The following is a 17,937-nucleotide window of genomic DNA, read 5'->3' as shown; positions in this document are numbered from 1 at the left end:
AAATATGCTTTGCACCATGCACATCTTCTTTAGCAACTATCTTAAGGATCTGATCAAGATGAGGTCAGGCGTGGTGGCTCACTCCTATAATCCTAGCACTTCGGGAAGCCGAAGTGGGTGGATCACCTGAGGTCAGGAGTTCGAGGCAGGGGAATCGCTTGAACCCGGGAGGTGGAGGCTACAGTTAGCCGAGATCGTGCCACTGCATTCCAACCTGGGCGACAGAGCGAGACTCTGTCTCAAAAAAAATTAAAAATTAAAAAAAAAATAAAGTCAAGGTGAGTCATGCCCCATACCAGGAAGACTGTTTCATCAAGGGCCATTGATAAAACAATCTACCACACCAGGCAACCATTTTTAAAGTCCTAACTATATACCAGACACTGGACTAAGCATTTCACATATGTTATATCACTTAATGTGTTGAAAAACCGGGTGCATTAGGTGCCTTTATTCGCACTTTACAGATATGAAACCGAGGTTCAGTGAGTTTGAGGAACAGGCTCAGGATCCCAGAGCCAGGATTCATGCATGCACCTGGCTCCCTCTAAAGTTTGTATTCTGAAACCACTAATTATACCTATCACAAAATACCAGAGGAAGGGAAGAAACAGAGGGAAAAGTGGGGATATTCTACTATCTGAAGTGCCTTAAATTACCCTCAGGAAGAACCTCTGGCCAATATCTCAGAGATCCAAAGAAACAAAGCAAAGGGCTAAAGGAGTTAGGCAGCCCGGGTGGAAGCAATTTGATATTCCTTGCCTTTCCAAGGGTAGGCCTTTGTGTGAGAAGCCAAGGAACTCGAGTTAGACAGAGTCTGGGGTGACCCATCGTTACATGCATGATGCCAGCCCTGCAGTTGGTGAAAGCTGATAAAGAGCATGAACCCCACTGAGAGTCTGGTCATATTTAATTTCCGCTTTTGCCCAATTCCATGTTTAGTTTTAAGCCCTGCATTTGAAGATGCAAAGATATTAGACAAATTACATATTCCATCCAGCAGATAAAGTCAATGAAAGTGATTCGTCACAAGCTCCAGCAGAATGGGGATGCCGTTATCTTTGTTAGCAAATATGGGTATGGCTTGGAAAGTGAGCATCTCCATCAAGAGGCAGAAACCCTCTCCTTAGATAAAAATCTCATTAATAATTCTTTTCTCAAACAGGAGGAGAAGAAGAGATTTGTTGAGATGGAAACAGCAGAAACAGATAGCAGCAGTCCCCGGCTGCAGCCTGGGTGATTTGAAGGAAGGCACTAAAGGTTACATGAATGAGGATCATTAATATTCACGGCGGCATCTGGTGCTATGTTGCCAGGAGACAGTAATGAGAAAAGAGCATCTTCCAGGTCTAATGGCACTGCGGCTGCCACATCAATCCTGTCGTCCCCAGAAATGAGATCTCTATCATTTGCAAACAGGGAAGCGTTGGTGGCTTGGCTGTCATTCCAGAAGGTCACTAAAAGATATGTAGATGAGCTGCCCATATTTCTCGGGCTGACACTCACCAGGTTCCCTGAATAGTTTTGCCTTTTCAGGGACATGGTCTGACAAGCCAACTTATAAAAGGGTTACTTCTGTAACAGGGTATTTGCTCTTGATCCTTAGAATGTTTTGCTAAGTTCTGGCTTCTTGGATTGGAGCTCCCTCCAAATAGCTGCTGCAAACACTTCTTTGGAGGAAGGTAGCCTTGTCAATCTTGTGCTCTCATAACTTGTGTGAAGGTTGTAGCTTCTTCAACTGTAAACTGAAGAGTAGCAACCAAGAAAAGTAATCATAACCCCATAGCCCTGTGCCTCAGTTTGGGTTCTCCTACCAGCAGACCCTGAGACAGATTCCACTTAAAGTGTTTGCTTCTTCCCACTGGCAAATAGGATTATTAAAATGGGAGAGGTGTCCCAAGATCTTCCTTGTCTCTGCTCCCTCCATCACAGAGCTAGACATTTTCCTTCCACATGTTTAGAGGCTGGATAGGTGTAAAGCTCTTTATACGTTTGTATCATAATTTCCCACTTTCTTTGTTATTCTCACAACTTGATGAATTAAATGAGCCCAGGAGTTCAAGTTCAGCCTGGGAAGTGTAGTTAGACTCCATTTCTAAGAAATAAAATATTCAAAAATTATGCCTTCCTTACTTGTTGTGTGTCAGGGATGAAGATGCAATGGTGAAGAAAATTAGACAAAACCCTCACCCTAGTGGAATTACCAGTGGGTTAATATGGGAGACTGACACCAAATACATAGACAAATTTATTCATTCATTCATTGAACCAAATAGTTACTGCCACCTAGGCACTGAGGTCACAATACAGCATGGAATTAGACAAAAAAAAAAAAATGTTGCTTTCTTGGAGTTTACTACTTAGTAGGGGAAGAAACCTACAGTAGGTAGAAATAAATGCAATGAACTAAAATAAAAAGAAATAGAAGGGTTGGCGGACAGTTGTGCTGTTTTATCAGATGGTCAGGGAAGCCTCTCAGGGGAGGTTGCATTGAGCAGAGACTTGAAAGTGTCACTCAAACAGTGGTGTGCTGAGCCAGCTCACACTGGACCTCAAGAACCAGTGGAAAACATCTCTTCCCAACTCCACATTCAGGGGCATCATATTGGTATCTCAAAATCAGGTAGGAGGAATTACACACTAGAAACCAGCAAATGCTGTGAAAGAGGCTTTTGTTTGTTTGTTTGTTTGTTTAGAGTCAGTCATTAACCATTTACCAATATCGAACTTTCTGCAACTATCTAGGGAAAGATTCTTCATGGCAGAAGGAACATCCAGACAAAGGCTCTGGGCTGAAAGAGTGCTTTGTTTGTTTTTGTTTGTTGAGAAAGAAGAAGAACATATCTACAACAGTGATTCTCAAAGTGTGAACCATAGGATAGCAGCATCAGCATCACTTGAGAAATTTTTGGAAGTGCAAATTCTTAGGCGCCACCCTAGACCTACTGAATCAGAAACTCTGGGTATAGGGTCCAGAAATCTGTTTTCAAAAGCCCTGCAGGTGAGCCTGAGGCACAGGAGAGTCTGAGAAGTACTGGTCTAGACCTAGCACAGTTATCAAGTAGGAGAGTGTGAAAGGAAGGTTGGAGAAGTTACTGGGACTGGATCACGAAGGGCCCTACAAGCTTTGGTAAGAACTGATGATAGTTACATTTATTTGTCAGCTTGGCTGAGCGACAGCACACAGATATTCCATCAAACATTATGCTCAATGTTTCTGTGAGGGTATTTCTGAGTGAGCTTGACATTTAAATGGTGGACTTGGAGAAAAGCAGATTAGCCTCCATATTGTGGATGGACTTCATTGAATCCATTGAAAGTCTGAAAAGAACAAAATATTGATCTCACCAGAGCAAGAGGAAATTCAGCCAGCAGACAACCTTTGACTTCAACTGCAACATCAGTTCTTCCCTGGGTTTCCAGCCTAATAGCCCACCTTACAGATTTTAGACTTGCCAGCCTCCATAATCAAGTGAGCCAATTCCTCAAAGTAGATCTCTCTCACTCTTTCTTTGTCTCTCTCTCTCTGTACACACAGACACACACACACACACACACGCACATGCTTTTCATTCCATGGTTCTGTTTCTGCAGAGAACTAATACAGGACTCAAGCTTTTACTAAATGAAGTAAAAAAACAAATGTGGGGGAAGAGGAGTTGAAGCAGAGGCATGCCCTTACAGCTTATGTTTTCCAAGGTTTCCTCTACAGCTGGGGTCCTTTGGCCTATGGGCCAAATCCAGCCTTCAGTCCACTTCTGTGTACCAGGAACTAAGAATACATTTTACACTTTTAAAACGTTATAAATGCACCGGGACAAACACAAAGAAAAATATGCCACAGAGATGGCATGTGTTGTCCCAACTCTGAAATAGTTACTATCTGGTCTTTTACAGAAAAATATGCTGACCCCTGCTCTGCAACACCATGTACCTCCTGATATAATGTGCCGAGAAGGACACAATGTCACCTCTGTGCCTTTCTTGCCAACAATATATGACCTGAACTTAATCTTGAAGAAACATCAGACAAACCTAAATTGAGGGAAATTTTGTAAAATAACTGACATAGCCTCTTCAAAACTCTCAGAGCCACAAAATCATGAAGACTGAGGAATGGTCCCAGATTAAGTTAGGCTCAAGGAGACAAGACAACTATATTAACTTGTGATCCTGGATTGGAACCTTGTCCAGGAACAGAATGTTAGTGCAACAGTTGGTGACGCTTGATTAAAGCCTGTAGGTTAATTAACAGTATTGTATCAGTATTAACTTCATGGAATTAACACATCATCTGCGATGGATTAGGAGGTTAATATTTGGAGAAGCTGGGTAAAGGGTAAGCAGGAAACCTTTGTACTGATTTTTCAAATTTTTTGTAAATTATACATTATTTTTAATTGAGAATTTTAAAAAGAAAAAAAATTAAAAAAATCTAGCAAAAAAAAAAGGCTACAAGCTACTCTTTGGAAACTACAACATGTGGACACATTATACTGGCTTGGATTTGGATGGAAACAGCAGAGCGGATGAGTAACGGATTTGATTGGGATAAAATCTGAAGCTAAAGCTGACATAACTTGTTGATGGCATTAGAATTCTTTCATGTATAAGTTCTCCAACTTAAATAGAGTTAAACAAAAAGGAATTTATTAACTCACATAATAGGCATGGCTAGATTCAGTTCAAACAACATCTTCATGGGTCCTCATCCTCTTTCCACATGGCCCATTACTGCTTTCCTTTATAGTGACATAATTATCGGATTGGCCACTGTATCTTCAGGCTTATACCCTTCCTATGGCTAGCAATACCCTAGGAAAGAGGACTTCTCTTTTCCAAGTGGTCAAAGAGGCATCACAGAATAAAGTCATTAGGTTTGCTTGGGTCCTGTCCCCATTGCTGGACCAATTTCTTTGGGGATCTATTGAATATGTGGATTTTCCAATACTGGATCATCTGACCACTGCTACATCCAGGGGTGGTTGGGGTCATCTTCACATGAAATTTGACCAAGAGTTGGGGGAGTGGTTTCCTAAAAAACAGAAGCTTCACCTGGAGGGAGATGGAGGATGGCCAGATAAAGTTAAACAAAGTTTATCAAAGTTTTATGTAGCAAACAACAAAAGAACAAAAAACAAAGTTTCATATAGTAATGTCAGTAGAAGTATTTCAGTATTTACCGACATGTTCAGTTGACTTGCTTAGAATCATAATAGTAAATAAATGTCTAAGCAGGTGCTCTAACCACTGTCTCAGAATTCTTTCTGGTTTCCTACTATCTAGGAGGTTTCTCGTTGGATGGGTCTATCTCCAGTTTTTGTTTTGTTTTGTTTGAGACAGAATCTCACTCCTCTGTCACCCACGCTGCAGTGCAGTGGCGTGATCCCGGCTCACTGCAGCCTCCACCTTTTGGGCTGAAGCCATCCTCTCACCTCAGCTTCCAGAGTAGCTGGGACTACAGGTGTGCACCACCACACCCAGCTTATTTTTGTATTTTTTCTAGAAACAGGGTTTTGCCATGTTGCCGAGGCTGGTATAAATTCCTAGGCTCAAGTGATGGGTTCACCTCAGCCTCCCAAAGTGCTTGGATGACAGGTGTGAGCCATGGCGCCTGGCCAATATCAAGTTATTTTATTTTATTTTATTTTTTATCTGTTTGAGATGGAGTCTTGCTCTGTCACCCAGGCTGGAGTGCAGTGGTGTGATCTCAGCTCACTGCAACCTCCACCTCACGGGTTCAAGCGATTCTCCTGCCTCAGTCTCCCGAGTAGCTGGGATTACAGGCAAGTGCCACCATGTCCCCCCTAATTTTCGTATTATTTAGGAGAGACGGGTTTTTGCCATGTTGGCCAGGCTGGTCCCGAACTCCTGACCTCAGGCGATCTGCCCGCCTCGGCCTCTCAAAGTGCTGGGATTACAAGCATGAGCCACCACGCCAGGTCCAATATCCAGTTTTATAAAGAAATTTTTTAGTCACCATATAGTTGAGAAATTAGGATGTACTTGCATTTTCTTGCCAAATTCTCTCCAAACTAATAACAACAACAAACACCAAACTTAACTGAAATTTAAGTCTTGAGGTCTTAACATTTTAACCCTTCCTTTCTCCACAAAGCCTTTCCCCCCACTTGTGGAAAGTGAGAATGTGGTTTATTCTCCCCACCCTTCATCTGTTATCCTGACATTCAATTACCACTAAAGGGAAAAGGGGGAGCCAAATTGATGTCCTCCAGGAGGCCAGAACTCTGTGCAGCTTCCTGTGGCCCAGTGCATTCATCAATCTCCAAGTCTGCACAGCCCAAGGGGAAGGCTGGGGAATTGAGAGTCTGAAGCTGGCTGAAGGACTACAGGGGAGCTGGCAGGAGGGAATCAGGAAACCTCCCCATGAGCAGCTCATCGGGTTTGATATGTGTCAGCTCACAGAGCCCTGACTTGAGATGCAGTGATAACTAGACAGTAGGTGAAGGGAGGGGAGATAGCTGGGTTCCTGGGTTGGCCAGCTGATAGCCCAGACAGGGCCTCCAAAGTCATCCCTTGGCATGGACAACATGCGCTTGTGGTCTGGGCCTCGTCGTCGCACATCCAGTATTAAAATTGTTCATTTTCCAGTTCTGATCAGAGGGACTAATACACAGACCCACCCCGTCGAAGACTAATCTGTACATTAGAATGATGCCAGGTTATAAATCTGCAGCAGAGGAAATGTCTTTTCAGTATTCAAAGTACTCAAATTCTTCATCCAAGACACCTCTTTCCTAGGACAAAGGTAGTTAGAAAGCCAAAGTAATCAGTAAAGTGTTGCTTTCAGTCATTGCAGAGAGGCAGAACACCAGTGCAAAGGAACACAGGAGGCCTTGTGTGATCATCTATTCTGCATGTGGCAGAATCTAGCAGAGTTACTCTGCCACAAAAAGGTCTCTTTCCATGAACAAAATTGTAGTGAGATAAAGTAAGCACCCCTCTCTCTTTCATACAGGGGAAGCCTGGAAGAATTTCTACTCTCATTTTTAATTTGCATTATTCTTGGCCACAAACAGCCCCTACTCATGGACTCCTTACAGTCTCCAAGAATGTGATTCATCTTCTATTATGAAGTCAACACTTTATTGATGAGAGTCTAGGTGACAGCCTTGATCTCTTACAGTAATTTAAGGAGCATCTCACCCTCATCATCCATACCATCATTCTTAATTTTCAACAACCTTTACTGGACATGTCTCCAAATTCTGCAGCAAACCTGGTTTGGGTCCCAAGAGTTCCTGGATGCTGGGTTCCAGACAGACCACATTGGTTCCTAATCTAATCCCTTCCTGTATTTACCCTCCTCTGTGTATTACCTTACTGTGCAATCACGCAGACAGGGCAGGCGACAGTCTCTCCAGCCCAAAAGGGTAGAAAGGAGGGGAATCTCCTAGTCAGTGGTTTTCTTAATGTTAGTCGATAAAATGTGTGATCTGTGTAATCTTGGTTAATAAAGTGGGAGAGAAGTCTGGGTGGAGTCTTTTGTCAGTGTCTTACTGACAAAAGGAAATAACCTCAGAGTAAATAGCTTTATTTCTTTCTGTTGGACAGATACCCAAGTGCAAACAACACATGGAACTAGGGAGCCATTTGAGAGCCATAAAGGAGTTAATCTTAAGATTTGTGGAGGTCTGAGCAGCTGAAAAAGGGTGGAATGTGATCCTTGATGACCTTGTGGAATCACTGAATTAATCACCCTGATGCTATTCTCCAGCAACTTCTAAGAAATAGCAATCTTCTTACTGTTTAAGCCACTCTGAGTTGAGATTTCTGTTCCTTCCAACTGGTATCTTGCCCTATAATCATTTATTCCATCTATCTATCTATCTATCTATCTATCTATCTATCTATCTATCTATCTAGCTACCTACCTACCTATCTATCTATCTATGTCATGGTGGACAAATCACTTAACTTTTCTACACCCGTATTTCTTTATCATTAAAGCTGACAAGTTGAAGGGGAAGGCTTTCTGCCTTCCCTTTTGACTTTAACATTCAGAGTTTCTGATTTCTCTTCCATGGCATACAATGTAGAAATCCCTGACACACCTCTGGTTTTTGTGTTCTGTACTCTCAGTTCAAGGTCATTAGTTTTCCCCTCTGCTTCTTAATTCTGAGGTTTGAATCAAATGTTCTATATGTCAGGATTACCCATTACATAACTCATTCCTTTTTGGATCCTCATGTGTTCTCTTAGAATGTAAAGGGGATCAGAATATGCCACCCCAAAATATGTAACTTTGGCATGAGTATTATTTTAAACTGAAGGCAATTGAGAAACAACAAATGCAGGAAAATTTCTCTGCCTTCCCTTATCTGCCCCAAAGCAGAGCATAAATTTTCCTTTGAGGAAGGTGCTCTTCTGTACCAAATTTTCCTTTGAGGAAGGTGCTCTTCTGTACCAGGAAAAGGACACTGACTTTTATTACCAGAAATGGAAAGTCACACAAAGATTAGTGTGCATAAACAGACCTTACTGAAATAATCCTTATTGTCCTGGGCACCGTGGCTCACACCTGTAGTCTCAACACTTTGAGAGGCTGAGATGGGCAGACTTCTTGAGCCCAGGAGTTCGAGACCAGCCTGGGCAACATAGTGAGACTCCATCTCTATTAAAATAAATAAATAGCCCTGATCTTCCATTAGTTTTCTCCATATGTTTCCTAGTCACCTTCCCACAATTTATCACCCGTAAAAACCCTCAATTCTCATTTTTTGTGTAGTTGTTTTTCCACAATTTATCACTCCTTGTTAAAATGTTATGTAAGCCCCCAAGTCTAACCTCTTGTTCGTGTTTTCATTTCTTTTCTGAGAAGCTCCCATGCACGTAAAATCTTAGCATCAATAAAAGTTGTACTTCTTCTCCTATTAATGTATCTTTGTCCATTCAATTTACAGTCCTCAGGCACCAAACCTAAGAGTATAGAGGAAAGCCTTTTTCCTCCCTAAAAAACTCAAAAGATACTCAGTTTTCTCATAAATTAAAACAGGGGCTAATAATGCTAAGATGCCTTCCAGTTCAAACATCTTAAAGATTTTTAAAAATCCGTAAGATTACTTCTCAGTAATGACTTCTATTCAACACTTTTATGATGCAATATAACTATTTATATTTATAAACATTCAAACGAAGGATGAAGTTTCAATATTTATTCCATGATCTCTCCCACTTCAGCCAGACTTGTAGCATTAAAGGATGGGTGAATTAATGAGCAGGTTACAGACATGGGCAAATGGGGCTTAAAACTACTGGCAAACTCTGGGAGATTTTGTGGGACACACATTAGAGACTTCTCCTTTCAGGGCCAAGGAAGCTGGGGTATCCACTGGCTGTGGGCTACTCCTGGGGCACCAACTCCTCCACACATTCCCCTCTGCCATGCAAGTAGGCCAGGCCTGTTCCTAACACCACAGAGAGGCCTCAGGAAGAGAGTCCAAGAGACTCGTCATAGAAAGTAGGAAGACATTGAGACAGAGCAGGGACCCCTGGTAGGGGCCTGCAAGATCCCCCTAAGCATAGAAATAAAGGAAAATCTCAAGTTCCTTCAAGGGAAAAGAACATAGGTAGCCCTGAGAAGTAAATGAGTAACCTGATAAGCAAGAAGGAAATAGTAGCTTAAAACAATAACCAGGGAGGTTAGAGTCATGAGATGTTTTGTTCCCTATAGAAGCTAAAGATAACATCTTAACGTATGTTCCCAAGGTGTTTTTCAGAAACCCAGACCCCCATCAGATGGATCTGCTGGCCTGCAGACCCTGAGGGGAACTGAGGACTGAACTGGAACCACTGCTCTTTGTTCTAGATTTCTTCCTGAGGGGCCTGGAGGAGGTCACGCCACAGGCCAGAGCTTACATTCTTTTCCGCTGACCTCGCATGTCTAGACAAAGCTTTGCCTCCTTAACCAATTGAAAATCAAAAAATCTTTGAATCTACCTATGACCTATAAGCTCCCACTTCAAGATACCCCACCTTTTTCGGTCAAACTGAAGTACAACCTCCATGTATTGATTTATGACTTTGCCTGTAACTTCTGCTTTCCTGAAATTTCCCTCTGCCTTTAAATACCCTTACTTCCAAGTCACAGGGGAGGTCAGATCTTAAATGGGAGCTGCCTAATTCTCCTTGCTTGGCGCCTTGCCAATAAATGCTCTCCTTTCTCCCATTGCAAACCTCAGTGTGGATGTTTGGATTTAACTGCGCTGGGTTAGCGAACCCCAGTTTTGTTCAATAACACTGCTTGCAGGCCCAGACTAGCGAGCACTGAGGGATGGAGGTGGAGCATCAGAAATGTCCCGACCAACCTGGGCATCCCTACATGAAAGAGAGAGAAAAAAAAGTGCAAATAGCACATAATCTGCCATCAGCATGTCACGACGACTGCGTATCCTGCAAGGCCTTTGTTCCTGCAGGGCCAGCACGGGACTCTGGGCAGTGCTGCTGGTCACTCTCCCCAGGTGCATGAAGCCGGCAGAGCCTGGAGCCATGACTCCAGTCACAGTGAGGAGACTGGCAGCCTCCAGGACTTCATAATGTCCACTGGGCAATAGGCACTGAGCAATGGGTCACTTAGAATAGAGTGCGGGGAGAAAAGCTTCCAAATGAATGCCTTTCTCAGGGTCACTCTGAGATGGCAGACACATACCTGGACATCACTAACAATCACAGCTCTCATTCAAGCCATGCCTATGATGCTGCAGTTGTTGCCAATGTCCCTACAGCTTCACTGAGCTCTGAGCTTAGTCTGAGAGATGACTTTGGCCTCCTCCAGGGAGATGCTCAGTGAGAAGAGTTGGGAAAGAGGATGTCACACGCTCCCAACGTAGCTTTGTGATTTCCCAGCAGCAGTATGAACTTCCAGGGCATGAAACATCTCTGTTAAATTAGAAGTTCTAACATGATATAAGCCAAATATAAATGTTTTAGGTCATCCTCGGTTGCTTATCGTTCATTTCAGCATTGATTAATGAGTCAGAATGATTCGTTTCCATTAATGTATGTGAATAATTCAGAGATGTTGTCCCGAAGTAGAACTTTCCAGTCGTTGCCTTCCTCTGTCCTGCTTCCTTTTTTCCTGATTCAGTAGCAGTTTAATCGCAGATGTCAGAGCCACCCTATGTTAAACAGAAAGGGATTTACTACAGGAAAGTAGGGTCTTGCAAAACCACTGGAGCACAGCAGCCGGGCTCTGGACAGAGTTCCCGGGGGTGACTCCCAGAACACCACCCCGCGTCTTGGCCACCATCAGGAAGCCACATACCCTTCTCCTGGCTCCCAGGCCACACAGCCTCTGTAACGATCTGGGGCCGGGAAGCCATGTCACAGCCTGAGCTGCAGGAACTCATCAGATAAATGGATTTCTCATACGCTGCCTTTGGAGAGCGGGAGACCTCTGCTCCACAGCTACAGACAAAGCACAATTGGCCACAACCAGGAGCAGAACAGTCTCTCATTCACTGCCACCTTCCACATCCCACAGCTGTCTGCTGGGAAGAAATGTGGCTCCTGAGCTGCACGGAGTCTGCTAAATGTGAGCTTTTGCTTCGCTACCTGCTGCAATAAGACTACCGGGAGGAAGAATGGAGTGGAGTGGGCCCAGCAGGAATGTCTGTTCCACCTTTCTTCATTTGGAAACTTCTTTCACACTAAAGTAGAAATGACTGATAGCAGGAAAAGTACTGCTCTTTCCAGGTAGAGCTCTATCCTGAACATTCTAAAAGGCAGAACTTTTTTCTTAAATGAAAATGTAGCAAACTTCAGAATGATATTTATTAAATTATACCACATTAGAAAAACTGTGTGTTTCTGTGTGTGCATGTGTGTGCATATGCTTGAATACGCGTGTGCAAAAACACTTATGCTGGCCGGGCGCAGTGGCTCACGCCTGTAATCCCAGCACTTTGGGAGGCTGAGGCGGGCGGATCATGAGGTCAGGAGATCGAGACCATCCTGGCTAACACGGTGAAACCCCGTCTCTACTAAAAATACAAAAAATTAGCCGGGCGCGGTGGCGGGAGCCTGTAGTCCCAGCTACTCAGGAGGCTGAGGCAGGAGAATGGCGTGAACCCGGGAGACGGAGCTTGCAGTGAGCCGAGATAGCGCCACTGCAGTCCCGCCTGGGTGAAAGAGCGAGACTCCGTCTCAAAACAAACAAACAAACAAAAAAACACATATGCTTATACAAGTTTTATGTGTGTATCCACAGACATGAATACAAACATAACATAGAAAAGGTCCGGAAGGACACACACTCTATGCATTAACAATGATTAACCCTTGGTGGAGGAATAAGGGATAATGTGAGGGAGAAATTTTCCATTGTCGTAGCTTTATAATGTTCGAAAGTCTTATAAAGAACCTATATTACGGCCAGGCACGGTGGCTCCTGCCTGTAATCCCAGCACTTTGGGAGGCATAGGCGGGCGGATCATCTGAGGTTGGGAGTTCGAGATCATCCTGGCTAACACGGTGAAACCCCATCTCTACTAAAAATACAGAAAACAATTAGCCGGGCATGGTGGCGGGTGCCTGTAGTCCCAGCTACTCGGGAGGCTGAGGCAGGAGAATGGTGTGAACCCGGGAGGCGGAGCTTGCAGTGAGCCGAGATCGCCCCACTGCACTCCAGCCTGGGCGACAGAGTGAGACTCCATCCCAAAAAAAAGAAAGAAAAGAACCTATATTAGTTTGTGTGATATTATAATATTAAAAAGCCTGGAAATCATACTCTCTAAGAAGAGTCGTGGCAGGTCTTCCAGGGGTGGTTACACGGATATCTACACGTGTAAAAATTTATCACATTGTACATTTAAGATTTGAGTAGTTTACTGTATCTTAAACTGTTAAGTAGTTTAAATTTATTCTTCAATAAAGCAAAATTTTAAACTAGCAAACACGTAAAGAAAACAGAGAAGACTGGGCGCAGTGGCTCATTCCTGTAATTCCAGCATTTTGGAAAACTGAGGTAGGTGGACAGCTTGAGCACAGGAGTTCAAGACCAGCCTGGGCAATATGGTGAAACCCCATCTCTACAAAAAATAAAAAAATTAGTCAGGTGCAGTGGCATGTGCCTGTTGTCCCAGCTACTTGGGAGGCTGAGGTGGGAAGATGAATTAAGCCTCAGAGGTGGAGGCTCAATTGAAAAGAAAACAGAAAATATATGACAATCTCAGGCACTTGGAAGGCATGAGAGAACATATGGCTGCCACACCTAAATAATATCAAATTATACACCCTTAGGCAAGTTACCCAACTTCTCTGAAACTCAGTTTTACTCATCTGTAAAGTGAGTATAATAATAGTAGCTATGTCAGTGTTATGGTGACAATTAAATGAGTTAATTTACACAAAATTTTTGAAATCATGGTCATTGTTGTTTTTATCCATTGGAGTAAGTATATTAGTTTCTTAGGGCTATTATAACAAATTACCACAAACTGGGTGGTTTAAAACAACAGAAATTTATTCTCACACAGTGCAACAGGCCAGAAGTCCAAAATCAAGGTGCTGCCAAAGTTGGTTCCTTCTGGAGACTCAGAGAGAGAGTCTAGTCATGCCCCTCTCCCAGGTTCTGTGGTTATGGGCAACACTTGGCATCCTTTGGCTTGTAGATATAGCACTACAGGGCAGGGCGCGGTGGCTCACAACTATAATTCCAGCACTTTGGGAGGCCAAGGCGTGAGGATCACTTGAGGTCAGGAGTTCGAGACCAGCCTGGCCAACATGGTGAAACCCCATCTACAAAAAACACAAACATGAGCCAGGCATGGTGGCATGTGCCTGTAGGCCCAGCTACTCAGGAGGTTGAGGCAGAAGAATCACTTGAACCCAGGAGGTGAAGGTTGCAGTGAGCCAAGATCATGCCACTGCACTTCAGGCTGAGCAACAGACCAAGACTCTGTCTCAAAAAAAAAAAAAAAAAAGATAAGTGACTCCAATCTCTGCTTCCATCTCCACATGGATTTTTTCCTTGTGTGTTTTTCATCTTGTATGTTCTCTCTTCTTATAAGGATACAAGTTATTTGATTTAGGGCCCACCTAATCCAGTATGACCTCAACTTAACTAATTGCTTCAGCAAAGACCCTATTTCCAAATAAGGTCACATTCTGAGGATCCAGGTAGACATAAATTTTGGCGCACTATTCAACCTCTGCAGTAAGGCATTATTGTTCAGCTCTAGAGCCCATAAACACATAAAGGGCAAGGGCGAGGAACTGGAAGTGGTGTCATTCTTCCAAGAGGTAACCAGGAATCGGAACAGCTGACTACCTAGTGCTTGTAGATTTCCCTTTATTGTTTTTGATGAAAAATAAAGCGCCAAGTGAGGATAAACCACAGAATTCCTATGGCTATGATCTAGCCTGTTATCTTGTCAGCAATATCATTTTACATAAACAAACTGCAAAATTTTTACTACAATCGACGATAAACAAATACTATGAATCTCCCAAGTGTAAACTATTTGTTTCTCTCGATTGTAATAGGCAAAACTGGCCTCTGTGATAGTTGAGGTTGCTTTTTAAATGTGCCACTAGAGGGAGAAAAGGTTGTATGTTTGTTTTTGAAGTGCATATTGCAGGATAATGAGGTTTTTCTTTGTGCAATTACTACAAGTATGAGTTCCATGTTTGTGATTGCAGGGTAATTTCATCTTAATGTTGATGATGCAGACCACACTGCAGAGCAGAGTGAAGTGGTATAAATCACAAGCTGTGTTCCTATTAAAAGCATATTGTTTGGATGGAGATGGGAATCTATAACAATTCAAAAGCTGTCTTTAATCACTGAAGTTCAAATGTTGTCTTTAAAATTGGACTTTTGCAAAGTAAGGATGGGCATTGCATTATATATGAAATGGCTTTAAGACAAATCTATGGTGCAGTGATTTGAAAAGATAGAAGATGTGACCAGGCGTGGTGGCTCACGCCTGTAATCCCAGCACTTTGAGAGGCCGAGGTGGGCGGGTCACCTGAGGTCAGGAGTTCGAGACCAGCCTTACCAACATAGAGAAACCCCACCTCTACTAAAAATACAAAATTAGCCAGGCATGGTGGCACATGCCTGTAATCCCAGCTACTCGGGAGGCTGACAGGAGAATTGCTTGAACCTGGGAGGCGGAGGTTGTGGTGAGCTGAGATCACACCATTACACTCCAGCGTGGGCTCAAAACTCCATCTCAAAAAAAAAAAAAAAAAAGATAGAAGATGCAAACTAAAAGACTTTAAGATTTATTGTTTGGAATCCAAGAAGTGTCCTCTCAACTTTGTCTTTCTGCAAATTTTGGCATCATGTAGCTAAGCAGGATGGGCCAGAGCTGAGAAAAATAACAGCAATAATAATTAGCAGTTAGGTGCTACTTATTCTCTATCAGTGCTTTACATATATTAACTAATTTAATCTTCATAACAACCTTTTAAGATAGATGTCCTATTATTATCCTCATTTTACAGATGAGAAAACTGAGGTCCATGTTCATAAAGGTAGTGAGCACCAAAGCTGGCTGCAGTGTCTGAATTCCTTAACAACAACATTATACAGTCTTTCAAGATGAACTTATGTGACCGAAAGTCTCTTCCAGATGTTTTAACAATATTCCACATCATGATACACCTGTTGAAATGACTATAAACAAAAACTGAAAGTGCCAAGTGCTGACAAGGTTGTGGAGCAACTAGAACTCTCATATACTGTTGGTAGGAATGCACGATGATGCAGCCCCTTGGAACAATTTTGTCACTTCTTATAAAGTTAAATATACAGTTACTGTATGATGCAGAATTCCCACTTCTATGTACTTGCCCAAGAAAACAAAAGCTTATATTCACACAAAAACCATATGTGAATTTCTGTAGCTGCTTTATTCATAATCACCAAAAACTGGAAACAACCCAAATTTCTCCCAGTTGGTGAATGGGAAAACTATGGTGCATCCATGTAAAGGAATATCATTCAGCAACAAAGAATGGACTTTTCATGCAAAAACATGGATGAATTTCATATAAATTGTGCTAAATGAAAGAAGATAGACTCAAAAAGTTATATTTATACGACATTCTGGAAAAGACAAAATTTTAAGAACAGAAAATGATCAGTGGTTGTCAAGATCTGGGGGTAGGGGAAGAATTGACTGTAATGGAACAGCATGATTTTTCTAAACTGTTGGAACCATTCCATATCTTGATTGTGGTGGAGATTATGCCACTTTATGTGTTTGTCTAAACTCATAGAACCATACAATAGAATGGGTGAATTTTGCTGCATGTAAATTAAAAACTATAGAACGATATAAATAATGAGGGCAGGATTCCAATGCAGTCTCTTGGACTAAAGCATATCACCTTTTCTAAGATGTCCTAGATGTGTAAATTTGAGGACACTCCTCAACAATTCTTTGCACTACTTTCCCCATCTGCAAAATGGAGATAGCAATGTCTACATCACAGTTTTGCTAAAAGATAATGGAAAAGAGTCAGCGGCCAGTCAAAAAACCAAAGGCACCTAAGGTATTTGAACAAAGAGAATATAATTGCATAGATACTGGAGAAAAGCAAAAAGGAAATGCTAAGGTAGTAACTGCAGGAAGTAGCTTCCACCCTAATGGCTAGGCGAACAAAGGGAAGAAATTTGAGTTCTGATAGAATCTAAAACCTAGGACAAGCCCCATGGAGATAGAACGATGAAGAGGATGTATCACCTAGCTGCTGCTGGTCCTTCTATGGGGATATGGGGGTGGTCCTGGGAGACAGAAGCTGAAAAGGAGAGCCAGATGGTGCCACCAGGGAAAGTGCTACTGCTGGAGCCATGCTGATCAGGACAGCAGCAAAACAAGAGTGATAAAGTCTCTCCCCATCCCTCTGCCCCACTTCCAGTCTTCCAATCTCCCTTGGAATCTCCTAGTGGTATAATGTACCAGGAAGGCACCTGACAAGGGAACCATGAAGGGTGTGGGGCTCAGCGTCAGAAGTCACAGTGTAGATGGGTTTGAGCAGAGAACTTATATAGCCATCAGAGGCATATACTCAGCTCTCATTCATTTGCTAAATAAACATTTGTTGAGGGTCAGGTACTCAGCTAGGCAAGGCTCTTGTCCTTAAAGAGCTGAAGCTAAATAAGAAAAGTATAAAGCAAGCTACGTAGAGGTCTTGGTGAGTGTATTAAGTTGGATATTGGGATCAGATTCAGGACTGTTTTAAGAAGTCGTCTCCTCCAGGTATCAGATAGAGCAATGAAGCTAGCACAGCATTGCTTGCTATGACACTGAGATGCTGGCTGTCTTCTCAGGTATGGAAAATATTCCGTGTGCTCTCCTGACATCCCTGGATCACTCTATGAGATGGGCAGGATTAGCTCATTTGAGTTGCCTGGAAGGCGTCCTACACAGAGTTGTTAGCCCAACAAATCTTGTTAGCCAAATTTATTTGAAAAAGTCAGTGACTCGTGTGGTCACGTCACTCCTGGGTCCTCCCTAGTTCCTGAAAAAATGTCCAAAAAGCGCAGGTCTCACTTCAGAGCAAAGATGAAAGTCTAGTTACCTCTTGCCTATTACTTGTACAGATAGTCACATAGCAATCTTTATACATGTATTGATTTGACTTCATTATGCAGCTCCAGTGATTGCTCTTGCAGGTTTTTTACTAACTTTATAGCCAATATGTCTTCTGGCTTAGTAATCTTTCTTCTTTTTTTGGAATGGAGTCTCACTCTGTCGCCCAGGCTGAAGTGTAGTGGCATGATCTCTGCTCACTGCAACCTCTGCCCACTGCAACCTCTGCCACCCGAGTTCAAGCAATTCTCCTACCTCAGCCTCCAGAGTAGCTGGGATTACAGGCGCCCGCCACTGCACCTGGCTAATTTTTGTATTTTTAGTACAGACAGAGTTTCACCATCTTGGCCAGGCTGGTCTTGAACTCCTGACC

At 42.8% G+C, this 17,937-nt stretch overlaps 1 long non-coding RNA gene across 1 annotated transcript in view; it reads right to left on the bottom strand.

Moving 5' to 3' along the window:
* Positions 1-9,799: 9,799 nt before the first annotated feature.
* Positions 9,800-17,937, bottom strand: part of LOC105372542 (uncharacterized) — a 29,065-nt gene continuing 20,927 nt past the window's right edge. Inside the window, exon 4 of the long non-coding RNA XR_937286.3 lies at positions 9,800-11,138. This is a non-coding gene — a long non-coding RNA (uncharacterized LOC105372542). The remainder of the gene's footprint in view (positions 11,139-17,937) is intronic.

Source organism: Homo sapiens, chromosome 20 (genome assembly GCF_000001405.40).
Source record: "Homo sapiens chromosome 20, GRCh38.p14 Primary Assembly".
NCBI lineage: Eukaryota > Metazoa > Chordata > Mammalia > Primates > Hominidae > Homo > Homo sapiens.
This window is presented reverse-complemented; position numbering and strand designations above follow the sequence as displayed.